Below are 21,383 nucleotides of genomic sequence, written 5' to 3'. Positions count from 1 at the left end.
CTGTATTTTGCTAGGATAGGCTTGCTACACAAGCCTCATGAGTAGGCGGAGTAGAAAGCTGTCTAAAACAGGAGTCAGATACTATTATGGCCCACAGGCCAAATCCAGGCTACTACCTGTTTCTCTAAATAAAGTTTTATCAGAACACAATCAACCCTATTGGTTCATGTAATGTTTATGGTTGCTTTCTCGATAACAACAGTAGAGTTCCCACAGAGAAAATACAACCAGCAAAGCCTAAAATATTGACCCTTCGCAGAAAAACTGTGCCAACCCCTGGTCTAAATTATGTGCACTGAGGTGTGTGACTTCCTGCCTAAAGAACATTCCGTTCTCTGAATGAGACCTGGAGTCTCACTATTAGAGGTTTAAAGAAATGTATATATGCTTTGGGAAGGTAAAACACCTTAAATGCTGAGAAGACTGTTCCTTGGTAGAACAAAATGATCCCTTCGTGGATCACTACAGGGAAAATAGAAGGGCTCCAGGAAGCCAAAGTAAATTGATCAGGCGCAAAAATAAACTTGCTTACATCCCAATCTTGGCTGGGTCTACAATGGAGAAATGAGTCTCCAGATGCAGTGTCCTGGGAGTAGAATCTTGAGTTCGGTTTTCTCACAGTGTGATAGGTTTTACTCTAAACCTGCTTCCTTGCCCAGCCCCTCTTAACCCAACAGCCAACAGCTGCCAGACAGCTGGATGACAATTGGGTACAATAATAGGATAAAACCACTAAATGGTCTGTACACATTATTGGCACTTTCAGGCTTCTATGAAATGATGTGTGTGAACCTCAGAAACCATTATGATGAGCGAAGGAGCCAGACACAAATCATACATGCTGTGATGGCTTCCACGAACAGGCAATGCTAATCTGTGGTGACAGAAGTCAGAAACGGGTTGCCTGGAAGGAGTAATTGAAGGAACAAAGTGCATGAAGAAAATGTCTGGGGCGAGGGAGATGTTATATATCTTGTTTTGGATGGTAGTTACATGGGTCAAAAATCATGGAACTGAATATTTAACAGTGCACTTTACTGTAGAGGAAGTATACCTCGATTTTTAAACTGACATCACTAAATAAAGCATTTATTTTTATTTGTTTGTGGGTATGGCTTCAGAAATCCTGGAGGTCTTTAGATTCATGACCATTATATAATTTTCCCTCCATGGTAATGGATAAGAAGATGAAGTGAAGATAGAAAGGTGAAGAAGAGAGAAAAAAAGGTGAAGAAATGTTCCTTGGTGGAAGGAAATTCCTGTCAAGCCTCTAAGCCCATTTTCTTCCCAGGCACATTCTTGCAATATGTCATCAGATATCAGTTTTAGGGCCTAGCATGTCAGAGGACACTCAAAAGCAGAAAATGAGGAAAAAAAGTGAAATAGATTTTTCCTCTTAAAATGTATGTGTGTGTGTTTTATTGAATTATTAAAAACACAAGGAAAATATTCAACAATATGCTCCCATGTTTCTTGGAACTCTCCACTTTAATTTAAATTCTATTAAATTTTTCTAATTTTGTGCCAAAAAGAGTATAAAGTATTTTAATTAAATGAAATATAAACATAGTTAAATTAAATATAATTAAATTAAGTATAAATGAAATTATTAAATCTAGCACATAAAATATTAATAAAATTTATCTTTCAAAAAAGAAGTTTTTCGTGAATACTCTCTTTAACTTTGAAAAACATAAATAAAATAAAGTGCCATAGCATTCTTAAACACTACCTAAAATTCCTATTAATTAAGTTGCCAATTCACAATCATCTGAAAAACAAAAATCAGTTCAGCTTATTGGACAGGCTACATTTTTCAAAGAAAACCTTAAACACAAGCATCTTACTAATATATTATCTGGACTTAGGTAGCTTAGTTGAAATAAACCAAGCTCCACTTTGAGTAATTGAATGAACTAAAATTAGGTAACAATTTCATGCTACTGTACAGACAGCAAAAGTACCTGAGAGATCAATTAAATAAGTACAGTTCAATGAGAGGGGAGAAAGGTGTTATCATAAAATTAGCACAGGTCTAAAAATGTGTTTTAGTTAAAAATCTAGGATTATCTCATTACCCTCACTTCCAACTTAATAATAGGGAAAAATAGAATCTAAGCATGAGAAAAGACCCTTGAGGTCAACTAATGGAGCCCCTCATAATCCAGATGAAGAAATTGGGTATGTCACTGAGTACAGTCTGACCCTAATCATTTTACTCAAAGTGCACATTAAATGGTCTCTACTCTCCCACCCTCATCTCATATTTCAGGGTATCAGCAATACCAGCATCTGTGGTTACATGCTGCAACGCCTCTTCCTTACGCTGGTTCTTTGGCCAAAAACACTCTTCCAACTCTTAAAATCCCCCCTACTAACTCATGCTCACTCTTTAGATTTAATTGAGCTATCGACTCCTCCAAGAAGTTTTTGTTAACCCTTCTCTCACCAACCCGAGCCCTAAACGTTAGTTACATCTTCTCTGCTTTCCCAGAGTATCTTATGCTTTTTTTTTCAATCATTCATTCATTGAACCATTCACATACTGAGTGTCAATTCTGGGCCAGTAGGCTAAAATGCTAAGGATACAGAGATAAGAGACAGTTTCTGTCCTCAAGGAGTGGAACTCTGGATGCAGCTGAAATTAATCATGAATACATTTCTCACTTAAGGACCAGCTATTAACCATTTTTGTAGCCCCAGCATCCAATATCACATATGGCATAGAGAGGTTCAATAAACATTTGTTCAATTTCACTTTTTATTTCAAGAGTCAGAGCTTAAATTCTTCTTGTTTTAATGAGTGAAATGACTCAAGTAAAATTTAATCTTTTAAAACACTGGGGGATATATTTACTTTCTATTAATTATCTATCCATGCTGCACTCAGTTTTATGTATGAAGCTATGATTATTTACAATTGTTGCCAGTTTGATTTTTTATTATTCTTATTTCTATGCATGTTATCAATAGTATATACTATCCTATGAATAAAGGTTAATTTAGTGTATTTTCTCTCTCAGGGAAGACTTTGTAAAGGAAGGGATGCTCAGATTTTGGAAGACTTCCCTGGTAGTTTCCAACAAAGGAGAAATCACATTTCCACATTTCAGCCTCCACAGTTAACCATTTGTTAAGACTCTTCTAAGTGCCAGGCCGTCTGATGAGGGAGAGGGGAAGGTAGTTAAGGATCCAGTAATGAAGAAAATAGACAATATTCTTGTTCTAGAAATGCTTCCATATTATTTTGAGGCTAAGAATAAAGCTTTATCCTATAAGCAAAAACGTATTATCAAAGGATTTTAAGTAAGAAAAGAAATGGGTTTTTAAGTTCTGCATTTTAAAAATGCTAGATTTCTTTCTCGACTTTGATCAGAATTTTAGTTCTTTTGGGTACATTTTTTAATGCTCCCCTCGTCGGTCTCCCTCTTCTCTCTCTTCCTTCTCACTAGCTAAGCTTTTAGAAGGAATCATATCTACTTTCTGCCTGTATTTTCTTATCTCATCATCACTCTTCAACCTGCAGCAAAGTGGCTCCCACCTCTACAACTCTATTAAACCCACAATAGCAAAGACCATCACTGATATCCACACTACTTAATCTGGTGGATGATTTTCTTTACCATATTGTTCATTTAGCTACTTTTGATGTGGCTGTCTGATCATTCTGAGCCTGCTGCCTTTGCTTCTGGAATGCTCTCATCCTGTTGGTCTCCGTCACAGGCTCCCAAGCCCTGTCCTTCCCTAGCTGGCATTACTCAAGTTTCCATCCTTGTTCCACTGCTGTCTCTATAGAGACTTTACTGTCTCCTGCCAGATCTCATCCAAGCCCAGTTTTAACCATCCCCCAAATGCTGAAGTCTCCCATGAATAAATAGCTTAGAACTTTCAGCCTTGATCTCCCTCCTAGGCTTCCAACTTGTATAGCCACCTGTCTGCTGAGCATATACACTTAATTATCCCACAAGAACCTAAAGGTTGAAATTTCACATGTCAAACTCATTGTCTCCCCATCCACAATCTGCTCATCCACCACAATTCCCAAATTCAATACCTAACACTCCCAGACAGAAAACCAAGTCATGGCCGGGCACGATGGCTCACGGCTGTAATCCCTGCATGCTGGAAAGCCGAGGTGGGTGGATCACCTGAGGTCAGCAGTTCGAGGCCAGCCTGGCCAACATGATGAAACCCCATCTCTACTAAAAATACAAAAAAAGTTAGCCGGGCATGGTGGTGGGTGCCTGCAATCCCAGTTATTCAGGAGGCTGAGGTAGGAGAATTGCTTGAACCCAGGAAGTTGAGGTTGCAGTGAGCCAAGATCACACCACTGAACTCCAGCCTGGGCAACAAAAGCAAAAAACTCTGTCAAAAAAAAAAAAAAGAAAAAGAAAAAAGAAAAAAAGAAAACCAAGTCATGTGTTCCTAGTTCTCAGCATGCATTTAATCACCAAATTATACCAACTTATTTGCTTGTTTTCCCCATGGAATCCTTCGGTCCCTTCCATCCATATTCCCACAATTCCAGCTGAGGACTTCATCAGCTTTACTTAAGCTACTTCATTACCCTTCTAAACCATTTCTCCAGCTCTTTGTGGTCTACTTTAAAACCATCTTTTATACTCTAGAGGAATAAAGCGATTGGGGGATCCTGGAAAAGAATAAAAGCAAAGAGCTACAAGATTACAGTTTTGATTTTATGGATTTTGATTCAATAGCTTTCAAACCAGAGTAAAATACTAATGAGCCAAACTGGATGTGGGCAGGGTTGGGGGTAGGGGAGTAAAAGAGACAAAAGCAAGAATAACCTAGAGTAAGATTTGGCTAAATGATGAATTCCTGTTTAAGATAAACTTCAAAAGTCCGCTAAATGGCAAAGCACTTCCTTGAACTCTAAAGAGAATTGGTGCTATTTTTTTTCTTAACTCCCACAATGAGAACTTTTTTTATCATCTGGATAAGAGGAGTATCATGTTTGTTTAGGATTGGTATAATCGAAATCAGCTTCACTTGGGCTTCTTATAAGCAATGACTCATGTTATTTTAGCTGGTGTGGGATCATTGCCTCATGAAGGATGACACAGCTTTAGACATGCAGAGCCTGGCCTGCTTTTTCCAATTCCATGCCTCCAGAAGCTGGAAGAGGTGGGAGTCCTCTAGCCTGCAGCTTTCTGCAACTCAGCACAATTCAGATTTTATGAAAACAGTTGCCAAGTCGACCTTGTAATCACAGAGCCTTATAAATGAGGAGGGAGAGGAGTTAAGTTGTGGTATGTTAAAAATCACAGGGCCAGGCATCCTCTGTTTTTCAAAACAGAATCTGTGGAAACTTACAGTCAGCTCTTTCCCTCATTAATTGCTTACTCTGTTGAGGTCAGTAATTTTTTTTTAAGATGCTAATGAAAAGTCACAGCAAATATGTTTTCAAGACTCCAACTTACACTCACTAAGATAATGTGCAAGGGTGGTTGTAATAGTGTTTGAAAGGAAGCTAAGGAAATGCCATTCTCATAATCGACACCACCTTTTCTCTAGCTCCATACCCAGTCAGGGAGCCAGTTCTCCCCTCTTCCATGTTTTCCTTGCTGTTGGCCTTCCTGCTTCCCCGAACCCAGTAGCCCACATTGTGGGCCTGAGTGAACGCTGTGGTAATGGGAAGCAGGTGATCAAACCAGGATCGACAGGTTGGTAATTCCCTGTAAGGCTCTAGGCAAGACACTTTTCCATACTTTGCTTTCCAGTTGTAGCACAGACATTGTTCCTGGCTATCCTTACTCATGACTGGTCTTCATGAAACTTTGTTCTCATTAGCAACATACTCTGAGCTCCTTAGCTGGTTAAAAATAATGAGAAGACACTCCTAAAACATGGCAGTTAGCAGAAAAGTCCAGACTACCATTTATCATATAATGAAAATGATTGTCCTATCTCTATAGTTCTGGTGTCCTAAGAACTAAAGTTTATTAAAATGAATAGCTTGAAAAATTAACACAAGGGCCCAGAGCCTGAGGGCCATTATGATTCTGACCTCTGCAGAGGATTCAGGTCCAGACTAAGATGGGCCTAGGATTCGTTTTCTAAATGGAAATGTCTGAGGCTCATCTGAGGTTGGCATCATCCATGGCTCCAAGGTCACTGAGGGACAAGGGCTGTACTCAGGCTTACAGGAGACTAGGGATGGCTCAGGAGTCTGAGTTTCCACAGCCTAAATTTTTGAGCACGATTTAGAACAGAACTGATCTCTACAATGTCATAGTCTAGGACCTGACTTGGTCCCCTGGTTGCTTTCAACTCAAAACAAGGTGAAAACTTGACTGAAAATTGGGAGAGAATAGAGGAAGAATTCATTAATTCTCATGAAGTGTGGTTTCTCAATGTTCATTATGAATTCTTACGGTAAGGCCGGACACAGTGGCTCATGCCTGTAATCCCAGCACTTTGGGAGGCCAAGGCAGGTAGATCACCTGAGGTCAGGAGTTCCAGACCAGCCTGATCAACATGGAGAAACCCCGTCTCCACTAAAGATACAAAATTAGCCGAGTGTGGTGGCGCATGCCTATAATCCCAGTTACTTGGGAGGCTGAGGCAGGAGAATTGCTTGAACCTGGGAGGTGGAAGTTGCGGTGAGCCAACATTGCACCATTGCACACAAGCCTGGACAACGAGAGTGAAACTCCGTCTCAAAAAAAAAAAAAAAAGAATTCTTATGGTATAAATCATACTGCAAGGAATGAAACAAAAAAATGTTTTTAACTATAGAAATATATTTTAGTTGTTAAAAAAGCAATTAATAAAACTAAAGTGAAAAATTATAAGATCTAGTTACTAAGAACATAAACCTAAAGATTAAAGGATTAAAACCTGCCCTCCTTCTGAAAGAAAGAGAGAGAGAGAGAGAGAGAGAGAGAAAGCTTAGTCAATTTGAATGTCTGCTCTAGAACATTTTGTCTAGTTTTAAATACTGTTAAATATAGTCTTAAATAAGTATTTCAGACCATGTGAAGGGTAAGAATATATGTTTATATATATATTCTTAATATATATATGAAATATATTTCAGACTATGTGAAGGGTAAGAATATAAATGAAAAAAATCCTATTATTGAACTTCCTTCAAGTGATAACAAGAGTTCTCAAATATATTATTATATTTAAATCAATTTCATATATCCATTCATACCCACTTCTATGCTTATTCCATTAAAACAGAATAGAAATGTTTGCAAAATGTAAGACTAAATCAACACTGAATATTTATAACCTCTACTATGCAGAAGTTGCTCTTGCTGGTTGCTAATACTATACCGGTATTGTCCCTGCTCTCAATAATCAAATTGAGGCAGAGAAACAATAAATCCATAATATATTAATAATGTTACAAGATTTAAATAACAGGTTAAAAGCACCAGTTCTAGAGGAGACCGGGTTGGAATCTTGGCTCTCCTTGCTGTGTGATCTTGGGTTACTTCTCTGTGCTTCAGTTTCTTCCTGTGTCACAAAACAGTTTTAAAGAATAACTGGGGTAATGTATGTCAAGCTTTTAGTATAGTGCTTGCCTCATTTGTAAGCTCTGATTAAAGCTAGGACTTATTTTTAAAGAATCAACATCGCAGGACCACAGGGCATGATTAGGGCATGACTGATTACCAAATGAGCATTATGGTGGTAGATGGCAGCTTGTTACGGTAGGTCAGAACCCTTCTGGCTACAGTTGTCGAGGAAACCTTCAGAGAAATTTAGTCCTCACTTCTTTGACTGCGTTTATTTATTCTCTCTCTCTCTCTTCTGCTTTTTATCTCTTGCCACTTAAATATAGATTTACTCCCAACCACTGACATGTAACTTTGGCTACTACATAAATTTTTGTGTTGTAGTGAGGGTGAGAGGAAAAGTGGAGAGAAAAGAAATAAATCCAATATCACAGTATGGGTTATAATGTCATTTTAGGATGTTGAGAATTTTTTCTAGCCACTGTCAGATTTCTCTACTGATCTTCAAAAACCTAAAATAATTGATGGGCCTTTGTATAAAGGTAAATACACTAATAAGTGGTTTCTTTTTAAGGCAAATGCATTGATCAGTGTTTTCTAAATTGATTTTCATAAATGAATACTCAATAGGAAATTTCAAAGGGATTCTTTTCCCTGTACATTATAAATGTATATAAGTAAATTTTATGTAAGTAAATGTATAAAGTATAAGTAAATGTATATAAGTAAATTATAAGTAAAGTATAAATGTATATAAGTAAATATATAAATGTATATAAGTAAATTTGTGGCTAACCACAAAGTTTAACAAAGATACAAAGATTTATCTTTGGTACATAAAAGATAATCAGTACCCAAACTTATAATTGCTAAAATAGCACAAATAAATCTCAAGTGTTTGACAGTTCAAGAAACACTACCTACTACTTTTGTCCTTGGTTTCCAGTTTCTCCTTCCTGTCCTTTGTATTGTGTGTTTGTATGCAGTCATCATCTATTCAACTAAGGGATCAGAAAAGGAATGCATAGATTTAATTAGCTTTTCAGAATAACATGACACAGGCAGCTGGTTTTCTAAGGGATACTTAGTATATGTTCTCCCACCCTTGGAATTACATGGCACTAACTGCCTGTCAAATGGACAGTTTATCTATATTATTCATTCATTGAAGAGTGACATAACACATTTGATACTCAAAGAATGTGTCATAAACCCCAGATATTTAAGAAGACGCATATATAGAAAAACAATCTACTTTTTTTATTTCCCACTTTAGAGACTAATGCAACTTGAAGTTTTTGTACACTTTAGTATTTTGTTTTGATGCACAGCCTAGAGTAATCACAAAGAAATAATGTATGAAACTTCATATGATAAAGAATGATACATTATGAAAAACTCACTAACTCAATAATCAGAGCACAGCAAGAGACAAAAAGCAAACAAGCTAAAAAGGACTCTCAAAGAAACCAAAATAAATGCTATCAAATTCTTCAACAAGAGTATACACTTTAGTCCTTTAAACAGCATTGCCTTTACATAGTTGTAACAAGCTGATTATCTAATCAAAAGTAAATTACAAAGCATGTTAAAAGTAACAATATTAGAAATAAAAGTACTGCTAAAGACTTTCAGAGCTGCCTGAAGAAATAAGTAATAATTTCAATTTTTAGGAAATAAAACAATATACCAATATAGACTATTTATTAGTAAAGCAAGCAAACTTACACATCTCAATAGGTACCTTTACTTTAGTAAACACATGCAGTTATGCTGTCTTAATGATAACAGTCATTAAGAAAAGGTTAATTTCTAACACTATTTAAGGGTATGCCTGACTTTATTTTCATCCAAAGAGGCTTAAAAACAAAGCAAAGTGTATTGCTTAAACAGATAGAATTTATTTCCAAAATTTTCTTCTGAAAAACATTCCATTTACCTCTTCTGCTTTGCTATATAACATTTTACTTTTATTCTTGGCTAGAACTGACATCTAGAGACCATATGGTTGAGAAATAAGAACATGGCAATTACCTCAGAAACAAAATTGTTTAGTTTGAGGATGGAATGAGAAAAAATTCTGATTACATGCAAATTAGAATGTTTACTTTAGTTAAAATACATTTGCAGATGTTCAGATAACATCTCCGGAACACTGGTAAGAGGAAAATGTTTTCCATCAGGTACAAAGATAATTCTCAAAGAATAAAAGATAGTTTCAGTAATACTCTCTAGGCAAAGTGGGATTTAAGAACAACTACACTCTCTTAACACAGCATTTAATTTAGCAACTTTCTGTTTTTTGTTTTTTTTTTTGAAATGGAGTTTCACTCTTGTTGCCCAGGCTGGAGTGCAATGGCATGATCTTGGCTCACCACAACCTCCGCCTCCTGGGTTCAAGTGATTCTCCTGCCTCAGCCTCCCAAGTAGCTGGGATTACAGGCGCCCACCATCACGCTCGACTAATTTTGTATTTTTTTTTTTTAAGTAGAAATGGGGTTTCACCATGTTAGTCAGGCTGGTCTCGAACTCCCGACCTCAGGTGATCCGCTCACCTCGGCCTCCCAAAGTGCTGGGATTACAGGTGTGAGCCACTGCACCCAGCCGATTTTTTTCCTTTGAGCCTATTAATAAACATTTGCTTCCAAAAAATCACAGAAATTTAAAAATTAGAAAATCTATCTTTAGAGCTTTCATAAAGTCAGACCAGGTAAAATTAAAACATTTTTTATACTTTGTGTCAAAACTGAAAAAAAAAAAGAGTAGATTAAATGACTGTTGATGACTATTTATATTTGGCTGACCTTTTAAAAGCTAATGAGATAAAAACAAAATCAGCAAGACTACTAGACGTCTATTTCATAGTATGTAAAATGAGTCAAATGTAGAAGAAATGAGAGAAATAGAAAGTCACCTTTAGAAGACCACATTAGTGAATTGTAGTGACAAGATCCACAGATAAATGCTAAAAGTTTAAGGAGAAAAAGGATATTTCCACAGTCTCAAAGTATCTCTCCAAAGGTAGCTATTAATTAAAAAGAGGAAAATCGTAACTTTATAGTACAGAAATCTGGCAGACACCACCTTATCCCGAAGATCAAACCTAACACCAACGTTAGTAAGATGTCAACGTCGCATACCCGCTGTATGATGCCCTCAGAGGGACCCAATATTACTTCCACAGATTTCTCATCGAAAATGCATAAGCTTGGTCAGGCTGAAGGCTCACATCTGTAATCCCAGCAATTTGGGATGCCAAGGTGGGCAGATCACTTGAGCCCAGAAGTTTGAGACCAGCCTGGGCAACACGGCAAAACTCCATCTCCACAAAAAATACAAAAATTAGTCAGGCATGGTGGCATGTGCCTGTAGCCTCAGCGACTCAGGAGGCTGAGATGGGAGGATTGCTTAGGTCCAGGAGGTCGAGGCTACAGTGAGCCATAATCAGACCACTACACTCCAGCCTGGATGACAGTGCAAGACCTTGGCTCAAAAAAAAAAAAAAAAACAGCATAACCTTAATTTAATCATGAGAAAACATCAGACCAACCCAATTTGAAGGACTTCCTATAAATCACCAACCAGTTCTCAAAAAGTGTCATGAAAGACAAGGACAGTCTGTCAGATTGCAGGAGACTCGGGAGATACAACAAAATTCAGTGTGGAGTCCCACATTCAATTCTACAACAGGAAAATTCCGATTTTATTGGAAAACTGGTGAAATCAAAACATAGGTCGTAGTTTAGTTTACAGTATTGTACCAGTTTTACTTTGTTTAGTTTTCACAAATGGTATTCTGGTTTTGCAAGATGTTAACATTTGGGGAATCTGGGTAAAGGTTACGCAGAAGCAGAAACTTTCTGGACTACTTTTGCAAGTTTCTTAAGCCCAAAATTACATCAAAATAGAAAGTTAAAAGTTATGACTTTTTAGTCACCATCTTCATCTACATAAGGCGATTCTACAATACTCTAAATTCCCTAAACTTTTGTGCATACATTAGAGATTAATGATCAGGGAGAAGTGAGCAGCTTAAAAATGGATAGAGCAACTGGCCAAATATTTAGCCATATGATACCATCAAAGGAAATGTACCAGATGTTTTCCAACAGCTCTGCATATGGAGGAATCTACGCTCAGCAGGGATCCCACTGTAAAAAGAAACCAGAGACACCAACTCTGATTTCAACCATAACATAAAGAATGACCTATAAATACCTATTGTCTACTAAGAATCTTATTTCCATTACTATTTTTGAATCCTCTCAAGAAAGTATACCTAGTATCCCCCAGAATATGGTGTCCCTGTGCATGTGTACATAAGCTCATACGGGCCTACATAAATGCTTAGTAAGAGTTAGCACCTGGAAGTAAATGTTTTCTTAATTAATTAATTTCAGTCCAGGAAAGTACCAATAAATCTATCACTAAAAGTTGCTAAATTTAGTTTTTCCTCAATATAAAATATTTACTTTCTAATCATCCATTCCATTTTAATCAAATTATCTTATTATTAAGAATAGTTAAGAAACAATAGCCCCCTCACAGAAGTTTAAACATTGCTGTAGAATTAGAATTCCTAGGATAACCTTGGTTAGCTTCTATATTTGTTTTCGAGGAAGAGTTGGCTGTTTCCCTCCTCTATTTTTGTCCTCTCTCGGGAAGTTTATGGTATAACTAGATAAATATCAGAAATAATCATGGCCATTTTCTACTATACCTTCACAAAAAAAACATTGTACTTCATTATTTGTATATACTCAGGAAACCCTTGAAAAACAAAATCTAGCTTTATCCTCAGCTACGTTTCATTTTATCAGTGAAATTATTTTGTATGTTTGTCAATAGTCTCACTCTGGATTCTGAATAGAAGCTTAGCCTCTCTAAAAATCATGATTCTAATTTCAACCATTTAACAGAACTGATAATTTATAGTTAGTTTATTCTCTTTCTTCCTTTACAATAGGATGTGGATATACAATTTTGTGAAATAAAGAATTAGTTCTCTTCCTCCCAACAAATACTTATGACTTGTGAGTCTCTTTGCTGCATGAATAAATTTCGCAGTGGTTGGAATCCCCCATGATCTAGAAATGCACTGTAGACACCAACTAGGACTCCCTGCCACTGTTAAGCACATAAAGGTGCTAAACACAGAAGGTAATTGGTGTTCCTCATTAGGAATAAGTCTAAACTGTCCAGAAACACAAGCTGAGAATGTTTTTTTGTTGTTGTTGTAATATCAAATCAGTTGACCAAAATGGAAAATAAGTGAGAATGAAATATGTTTGCTAAAACTTCCTCTGAGAGAATTATGCTCTTGCTTTAAACTACTTAAAAGTTTGTATGCCTATTAGGGACAGAAAGATGTTGTATCTTGATGGTTTTCTTGCCTTTTAGCTCCAAAGAAACAAATTAAAATTCATGTTACAAGTATGCCATGCTACTGAAAAGTAATAGCCAAAATAGACTTTGTGGAGTCCTTGAAATTAATTCCTAAGAAAACTTTGAAAGATAAAAGTAGTATGAGAAAATAGAATTAATTATGAGAATTAACAAGCAAGTCTATCCATCCTCACACTCTATTAGAATCAAGAAATATGGTGATAGAAATTATATATAAAAAAAGAAATAACTCTTAAAGAAACGGGGGGTGTGGGAAGGAATCCCAAAAGCTCAAAAGGAAATATGTATAACAGTATTTTAAATGCCACAGCAGACTGCCCCATGCAAATTTAAAGAGCAAAAACAGAACAGGACAAGATGGACAAAGGATAATCTATATATTAAAAATAAACATATTAATTTATACATTCTGAATACTGATTTTAAAAAAAGAACTTAAATCTGAGGATTCCTTACTGTCAATATATCGCAACCTAGAATCTTTTAGGTACCCACAACTCCCTCTAAAGGCCAGTGCATTTATGTGACTTCAGGTGGTTTCACTTATTATGCTCCATACATAGTTTTAACTATTTTATAAAATGAGGTAAGAATGAGTGATCCCTTTGATTCTTCGGTTGCAAGATTGGAGCTATAAAACTCAGATATTTGAGTTTTAAATGGCCCCCTTTTTTTTTCTTGACAAACAAGGCTTTCTTGACCTTATTTTGTTTGTCCGCTTCTGATAGTGATGCAAGTACCAAAAGTTTGACTCTCCTCTTTACAGCAACAACACCTGATTAAAAGTGATAACCGTAGGGATACAGCTAATATATCTGGTGCTTCCTCTGCGTTAGTCAATATCCTAAGCAGCGGAAGTAAATTGCCCAAGGCCACATTGTAGTAATTGGTGTAGAGTCAAGGTCTGCCAATCTGACCTCAAGCCTGAGGAACTGACAAGTACATTTCACTGGCTACTCACTTTACGAAAACAAAATAAAATAAGTAAAATAAAATAAAATGAGCAGCCCTAAAAGAAACTGCCTCAATGTTGAAGGGAAACAGGGAGAGTGTGGCAAACAAGCACAGCAGCCCCCATGATGGAGCAGCTCAGCTTCAGCTAGGGATGGCAGGCAGCAGGGCAGGCCTGAGCTGCTGGGTCCTTCAATTTTTTTTTTAAATGGTTAGCTAAAAATCCAGATTTACATCTGAAGCCTCTTGATGTAGAAATATTGTCACTTATTTCCTCTTTTTTTCTCAAAGTCTTGCTGGTTTGAAAGGTAAAGGGCCACATTCTTGGGGCAGGGACTATGTCCCGTTTATCTCTGTAACCCAAATGCCTAACACGTTGCTGGCCATGGAGGTGCAAACAGGTTGAGGTTGGCAGTTAAAAATCCCACCATTTTATCTTGGCTATTTTGTAATCTTGGCAGGAATTCATTAATTTACTCAACAAATATTTATTGGGCTACTACAATGTACCAGATACTGCTCTAGGGATATAATAGTGGAAAAAATGACCAAATAGAAAGATACTATATTCTATTTTACTGGGAAAAGGCTAGAAAAAAAAAAACCTTAAAAACATATAAACTCAGGTGTAGTGGGGGTCTGGAAAATAAAAAAGAATGGTTTGCTTTGAATTGAACCTATGCCACCAAGAGCTAAAAAATAACGCAGATACAAAAGTCCACGCTTTCTAGGGCCATTCTGGTCATTGCTCCACAAATAGGTTACAAATGTGTAAGCAATTTAAAGGAAAGGGTATTCTTGAAAGAGAGAGTGCTTTCTTCAGAGGTAGAACAATATGATCTTGCTTCTTGGCTTGAAAGGAAGTATTGATCATTAGTTAGTGAGTCAAAGGTTAATAACTTGGGCCTGATTATTTCTGTTATCAGACTTATGATTAATGGTGTCCTCTGGCTCTTTGTAAATACAGGAACCTCTTTTTGATTGCTTTTTTACTGGGAACCAAGGAATTAAGCTATTCTCTTGTGATTGGGTTGCAGGGGGCCAGGGGGTTCTGCAGCAGAGGAACAATGGTACCAAGGCTCCCATAGACAGAGTGCAGGGCAGTCACCAAAAATGCAAACTTGGAACAACGTGAATCTAATTGGCAACCTTAAGGTGAAATACTAGCTCTGACACGTAACGCTTGCTCTCATGTATTATCATTCCACAAGACCACATGCTGAGTTAATAGAACTTCTGCTTCTAGTTTGCTTTGGAAAAGGATGTAGTTTCAAATTGCCCAAATGGCACAATCTGGCTGGCGTTCTGAGACAGCTGCTGGGAATTATAGACAGGACAGCTACACTAGAACCGTTTAAGAAATGGACAAACTTGGCCCATGCTTTTCATCAAAACACACACACACACACACACACGCACACATATATATATTTATTTAGTTAGTCATAATCTGAGTACTTACAGCCAATAATTATGTTTAGAAAAGAAAATACCCTAAAGACAAATGCCAGTTTATATCTTCGAGCAGCCTTTAAAAGTATATGCACAACTCCTAAAGCTGGAAAAAAAATGTGATTTTCCCACTGTCTTTATATAAAAATGAGATTTCACTCAACCTGCTGTTTTTGAAAGAAACAACATTTTCTTTGTTAGCCAAGCCCAACATAGATCTCTTGCCAATGTACTTTGTTCTTCTCATGGATACTAGCCAAAAAGATATTCCTTGAAATAAAGTCACAATCTGTTAATTAGGAAATCAATTAAAATCACAATCAATTAAATTAGGAAACAGAAGTAATTATCGCACAACTAAAGTTAAAAGTATGAGATAAAAGAAATGATTAAAAATAAACATGATGAAAACACACCACTCAAACTGCCCCCTTGTAAAGAAAAGCACTCGTCAGTGGATCAGATAGTCACATTTACACAAATAAAACTTCCCCCAAATATGTATCAAATATCTAACCATCTCACTCATCATAATACTTTTGTCTACCCACTTAAACGTTTTTGTTTCAGTTAATGAAAGTCTCATTGGCCTTGATCTTGCATCAAATGGATGATCACTGATAGAGTAATTTAACATAGATCCTTGATTAAATCTGAAATGTACAGGATGAGATGCTTATAGACTTCTTTTGACCAAAAGGAAATATAATTGCATTGACAGCATAGAGTTGACATTAGCAGTAATCAAATAATGACACCAATGCCTTTATACAATTGAAAGGTTTTAACATGTAGAAATAAAATTGTCTTTAAAAGTCTATTGAGGTGTACTTTTTAGAGAATTTCTCAACCTAAATTTTAAACCAGGCATGCAGTTACTGAACAAGCTCTCAAAAGGAGTATTCTGAGGATTTAGGGTTATTCATTTACTGTTTTCTTTTCATGTGCTGCTTGTGTTTCATTTGGAATATTTTTTAATTTCCCGATGTTTTATAGGCAACTTTGGCCGAAATGAGGTATATATATATATATACACATGACTTATCCTCAAATCGTATCAAGAATGCAATCCTGCTGCTTGCTAATCTCTGCTAGCCAACGACTTCAGCCCAGGCTGGTGGAGCCTTCGAGCGTTTCCCACCTCCAGTCAAAGACAATGCAAAGAACCCCAGGCTCACTCATCTAGTCCACCAAAACTTGAAACAACATCCAGTGACGGCGGTCGTGCGCTCAGGCACAAGGCGCAGCTGCACGGCGAACCCCCCAAGCCCAGCGCGACTGCGCCGCCCTGGTGGGAGCGGCTCCGGGTACCTGCTGAGCGGGTGGCTGGCTGCGGCGCGGGGCGCGCAGCGCGACTCGGCGTTGGGGGGCTGGGCGCGCGCGTACGAGTGGTAGGCGGTCAGCACCACGCCGCCCGAGTCCTCCACCTCCATCGTCAGCCGCGCATGTCTCGGCGCCGGCCCCAGAACAAAGACCGGGACCAGCATGGACCGGCGCGCCGGGAGGCTGTCAGCAGCTGGGCGGCGCGGCCCGAGGTGCGACCAGCCGCTCTCTCCCGCGGCTGTCAGGGGCCCCCGGGCAGGCCCGCCCCGCCCCGGGCGCGCGAATTCGCAGACGCTGGGAACCACGCCCACGGGCTGGAGTGGGGGCGGGCATAGTGCGTGTGTGTGTGTGTGTGTGCGCGCGCGCGCGCGCGCTCCTGTGTGAGTGCCTGTTTGTGTGCCTGTGTGTGTGCGTGCGTCTGTGCCTGTCTGTGTGTGCGTGTGTACCTGTGTGTGCCTGTTTGTGTGCCTGTGTACGTGTGCACGCCTGTGTGTGTGTGCGCCTATGTGTGCGCCTGTGTTTGTGCCTGTGTGTGCGCGCCCGTGTGTCCATGTGTGTGCCTGTGTGCGCGCGCCTGTGTGTCTGTGTGTGTGCGCCTGTGTGTGCGTGCGCGCGCATGTGTCGGGAGTGCGCGGGGAGGTGTGATCCCCGCTTCTAGGAAACTGGAAACCGGCCGGGATCCTTTGGGGCTCCTGCTAGCGGCTCTAGTAAAGTTTGTTTTTCTTTGTTTCTTTTTTTTTCCTTTTCTCACTCCCCCTCCCAGCCCTCTTCCAACTGGAGGCTTATCCTGTGGCTGGGAACATTTCCTGCCTGGCTGCGAGGAGTGAGACTAAGAAACCATACCTCAGGCTGAGGAGAGAGGCCGGGTTTGATATGTGTGCTCTAGGGAAGAAAAGGAGAAAATGTGACACTCTCTCATTTAAAGCATCCACATCAAAAATTGAAGAACTGGATTACATTGCTGTTTACTTAGTCAAGTTACAATAAACTTGATTTCCTTTTGGGTCAGGTAATCCCCTTTTACAGCAAGGGAACGCTTCCCTCCCACACCCTCAGTGCGCCACTACCAGACTCTTACCTCACTCTCACATCCCTTTCCTCCTCCCAATCATGATCACATTAACAGATACCGTTTGCAGCTTGTCTGAAAATTAGACTTTATTATTATAAGCCAAATGGGTGTTATTTCCAGAAGTTACTGTTGGTGGGGGACGATGTAGGGACTGGTTCGAGGTAGATAAAAAGGGGCATCATTAGAAATCTTGAGTCTGAAGTATGTCCTTATCCACATAGGACTAATAGCACAAATGGAAAAACAACATTCTTATAGCTGATTAAAAAGTAACCAGAAGTATGCCTAGGAAGAGGCCCACGTGAATGTTTTACTCACACGGACAATGTGTTTTATCTGCTGTCTCTTCCGTGCATCTCTAGGAGCTAGACGAAGTGGAAAGACAAGTTAACCTATCCCTTACTGGAGGGCAACTTGATCATGCTACTTAACATCTCAGAATCTCTGTTGCTGCATCTGTGAAATGGGGAAAATAACGTTCATCTCGTGGGATTAAAGCAACAAGTACATATTAGGTTTTCAAGAAATGGGGGTACTCTTTGCTCTTTACATTCAACAAGAAGGGACACATTTATTTTCATTGCACTTTCAGAGGTTGGGAAAACAAGTTTTTCATCCAAAATGCTTTTTAAAAATGTTTTATTAATTAAAGGGGTGAGATAATAATGACTAAATTTGCTAACATACTTATGTGTTAGATGGTGTACATTAGCTGTTTAAACAATTCTATGAGGTAGGTAGTATTATTATCCCAATTTTATGGACAAAGAAACTTACTAAGCATGAGTGTATGGAAAAGACACATACAAAGAATGCTTTATTCTCCAAAATTTTCAGATAAAAAGAGGCATCTGTTTATTTACTGTGCTTTATGCCAATGCATAAAACTAAGACAATACCTTCTTAAAATGTGAAGTTAAAAAACCACTGTAGGTATTGATATATATATCCACAATTCTTCATCTAAAACCTTGGGAACAGATACATTTCAGAAATTATATCCACTTTTTATTTTTAAATGATAATTTGATACATGCACCATTTAATATAAAAACCCTCAGCCCAGTAAATTTGGGACAGTACTGTACATTTAAGTGTATTATTTCTGCAACAAAAAAAAAATGAATATTGACTTTGAGTAGGATAAAGTCTATAGATAGCCTCACATTTGTTCAGGTTAGGTTTATCACCCAATAAGTTTTGGCACCAAACCTCATAAAAGCTTGTAATTTTTATCTTACAGAATTTTAGAATTACCATAAGGAATTATAGTAGTGGAACTTTTTCTGCGCATGGAACATTCTTCTTTTATTTTTCTAAACTACAGACTCACAATATGAAATACCTGCAGGGTCTTTTCTTGTAACCATTTTGACCATAACACGGCCTCTAGATGCCCCGCGTTGCAGTAACGCCCCATCCTGCCAGCTACGGAGCCCTCCTCCTCTTGTGAATTCACATTGTAGACACCCTGGTTTCACTTTGGACTCCTCCCTCCAATCGATGATCAAATCTGTCATTTCTTCCTCAAAATGTCTGCCAACCATTCTTTGAATTCCTACTGCTAATGTCTTTGCCTTCTCGTCACCATCTCCTGACTAGGTGGCTGCAATCCTTCCTTCACAAAGATTACTTTCCATCAGCTTCCTCTTAAGCCCCACCCCCTTCAAAATGCTGTTTGGATGATTTTCCTAAAATGCAGAACATCCTCTTCTCAAAAGCCCTCGATTGTAACTCACTTGCTGCAAATTGAAGTCCAAACTCCTTCGTATGGCCTCTCCTTAATCTATTTTGATCACCGAGTACTTCATCACCCCAAAGGCCCTGTGGCCCACTTACACCAGCCTGTCCTGTGATCTTACTTTGTCTTTGCCCCTACCTATTATTTCTTGTCTGGAAATCCTGAAACACTCTATATATACCACTATAAAGCCTCTCAGGTGTTCCTAATTCAAAGCAACCTTCCTTCTGCCCTTCTGTGGAAATTGCTCTTACTTTCATTGTAATAAATAATTTCATTCGACCATGTAATTAAAGCACAGTCAGCCAAACACTGTGCTGTGTGCATTCTCCACGGCTGCGCCCACATCAGATGTTGCTAACAGATCTTAGCATTTTTTTCCACTGAGCCCAGATATGGCCATGAAAGCTACCTCAAAATAGAACCCCAAACCAGCAAGATAGCTTTGAGATGAAAACTACTTGCTAACTCAAGATTGTATTACTATTTTCCAAAAAATTAGTGTCTTTTACTAAATTGTAAGCTACTGGAAGGGCTAGGGTCATTTTTCTCTTTATAGCCCAGAGCCTGTAGAGTTTTGCAGAGCAGGCATTCAATAAGGAATATTTGTTGAAAGAATGAACATATGAATCAATGAGTGAATCAATGAACGAGATAATACTCTTTAGTGCAGTAGTTTCAACCTTGCAGAGTAGGCAAGTGTAAGGGTCAAAGAGAAACTTCTTTGCCCTCGGAAGTTTCACCGAAAAATTAACTCACAGAAATCAGATTAATTGGAGAAAAGGCATAAAAATGTATTTAATGTGTAAACACAGGATCCTTCAGAATGAAGACCCAAAAGTATATGGGAAATTGTCAATTCTTATGCTTAGTTTCAACACAGTATGGAGAGCCATGCAGAAATATGATTGGACAAAAAGAATATTATCTAATGCTAAGAGACTAAGTGGAGAAACCCAGCAAAGCCTGTCTGTCTTGATCCTTCTTGGCCTCTCTGAGCATGCATTTCTTCCTTCAGGGTATGCGACAGGACTCTCTCTAGAATGGGGGTCTTATAATCTGCAGTCAAACAAGTAGGTCAGATAACTTCTTTATGGCCAATTTTTACACAGAACAATGGAGGAAAAAGTGGGGTAATGTTTTCAGGTTTTATGGCCGTCTTTGGGGAAAAAAAGGTTCTGGTTTCTATGACCCACCTTGAAAAAGAGAGATTCTAGTTTCTATGGCTAGAAGATGAGACTGGGAGACTAGGAGCAAAAAGGTCAGGAAAAAAAAAAACAAAAACACAAAAAACAAAACTTTTGCCTTTGAGACTACCCCAAGACCCTCATTTTGTTTTCTGAGCCCCAATACCAAATTGTTTTCTGAGCCCCCATACCAAAGCATTATTATAAATGACTCATAAGTCTCTATGGCACTGAAACTGCAAACCAAAAAAAAGTTGACGTGTGGCTGGGCGCAGTGGCTCACGCCTGTAATCCCAGCACTTTGGGAGGCCAAGGTGGGCAGATCACGAGGTCAAGAGATCGAGACCATCCTGGCCAACATGGTGAAACCCCATCTGTACTAAAAATACAAAAATTAGCTGGGCCTGGTGATGCGCACCTGTAGTCCCAGCTACTTGGGAGGCTGGGGCAGGAGAATCGCTTGAACCCGGGAGGCAGAGGCTGCAGTGAGCTGAGATGGTGTCACTGCACTCCAGCCTGGCAACAGGGCAAGATTCTGTCAAAAAAAAAAAAAAGCTGACATGTATGTAATAATATTTTTCAAATATATCTATATGCTGTTGACTTAATAAAATACAACTCTTTTAAGCATTCTCGAGTTTTTGGCTTTTAGAAAGATGGTAGAATGCATATATTGGACGTTATAGAATATGCTACGCAGGCTATTTCCATTGGGCCTCCAGATCCACTTGCCAACCTCACTACCCTGCTTGATACCCTGG

General features: G+C 38.5%; 1 protein-coding gene and 1 long non-coding RNA gene across 9 annotated transcripts in view, besides 5 other annotated features; one reads left to right on the top strand and one right to left on the bottom strand.

Annotated features, from left to right (window-relative positions):
* The window catches only part of ARHGAP28 (Rho GTPase activating protein 28), a 186,001-nt gene extending 169,163 nt beyond the window's left edge, over positions 1-16,838 (bottom strand). For 4 of the 8 annotated variants that reach the window (NM_001366230.1, XM_005258146.3, NM_001366231.1 and 1 more), the window contains exon 1: positions 16,611-16,838. In NM_001366230.1, the coding sequence (NP_001353159.1) occupies positions 16,611-16,732 (122 nt within the window). In that variant the 5' untranslated portion in view covers positions 16,733-16,838. Of the gene's footprint in view, positions 1-16,440 lie in introns of all 8 variants that reach the window. The other 4 variants (NM_001410873.1, XM_047437799.1, XM_047437796.1 and 1 more) reach the window with 4 other exon arrangements.
* Positions 5,102-5,602: an enhancer, noted in NCBI's record as "H3K27ac hESC enhancer chr18:6740951-6741451 (GRCh37/hg19 assembly coordinates)". NCBI's record gives its function as "activates a minimal SCP1, AML or CMV promoter by ChIP-STARR-seq in naive H9 embryonic stem cells {active_cell/tissue: H9 hESC(naive)}" and the evidence as "EXISTENCE:reporter gene assay evidence [ECO:0000049][PMID:30033119]".
* Positions 5,603-6,103: an enhancer, noted in NCBI's record as "H3K27ac hESC enhancer chr18:6740450-6740950 (GRCh37/hg19 assembly coordinates)". NCBI's record gives its function as "activates a minimal SCP1, AML or CMV promoter by ChIP-STARR-seq in naive H9 embryonic stem cells {active_cell/tissue: H9 hESC(naive)}" and the evidence as "EXISTENCE:reporter gene assay evidence [ECO:0000049][PMID:30033119]".
* Positions 16,105-17,068: an enhancer, noted in NCBI's record as "H3K27ac hESC enhancer chr18:6729485-6730448 (GRCh37/hg19 assembly coordinates)". NCBI's record gives its function as "activates a minimal SCP1, AML or CMV promoter by ChIP-STARR-seq in primed H9 embryonic stem cells {active_cell/tissue: H9 hESC(primed)}" and the evidence as "EXISTENCE:reporter gene assay evidence [ECO:0000049][PMID:30033119]".
* Positions 16,536-16,635: a silencer, noted in NCBI's record as "silent region_9269". NCBI's record gives its function as "represses an Ori minimal core promoter by ATAC-STARR-seq in GM12878 lymphoblastoid cells {active_cell/tissue: GM12878}" and the evidence as "EXISTENCE:reporter gene assay evidence [ECO:0000049][PMID:35858748]".
* ARHGAP28-AS1 (ARHGAP28 antisense RNA 1) lies at positions 16,692-17,627 on the top strand. The gene is made up of 2 exons (NR_134645.1): positions 16,692-16,834; positions 17,386-17,627. It is a non-coding gene; the product is annotated as an ARHGAP28 antisense RNA 1 (long non-coding RNA).
* Positions 16,846-16,935: a silencer, noted in NCBI's record as "silent region_9268". NCBI's record gives its function as "represses an Ori minimal core promoter by ATAC-STARR-seq in GM12878 lymphoblastoid cells {active_cell/tissue: GM12878}" and the evidence as "EXISTENCE:reporter gene assay evidence [ECO:0000049][PMID:35858748]".
* Positions 17,628-21,383: the final 3,756 nt, after the last annotated feature.

This window comes from Homo sapiens, chromosome 18 (genome assembly GCF_000001405.40).
Source record: "Homo sapiens chromosome 18, GRCh38.p14 Primary Assembly".
In the NCBI taxonomy this organism is placed as follows: Eukaryota; Metazoa; Chordata; class Mammalia; order Primates; family Hominidae; genus Homo; species Homo sapiens.
The sequence above is the reverse complement of the archived record's forward strand: the minus strand, read 5'-3'. Positions and strand labels throughout refer to the sequence as shown.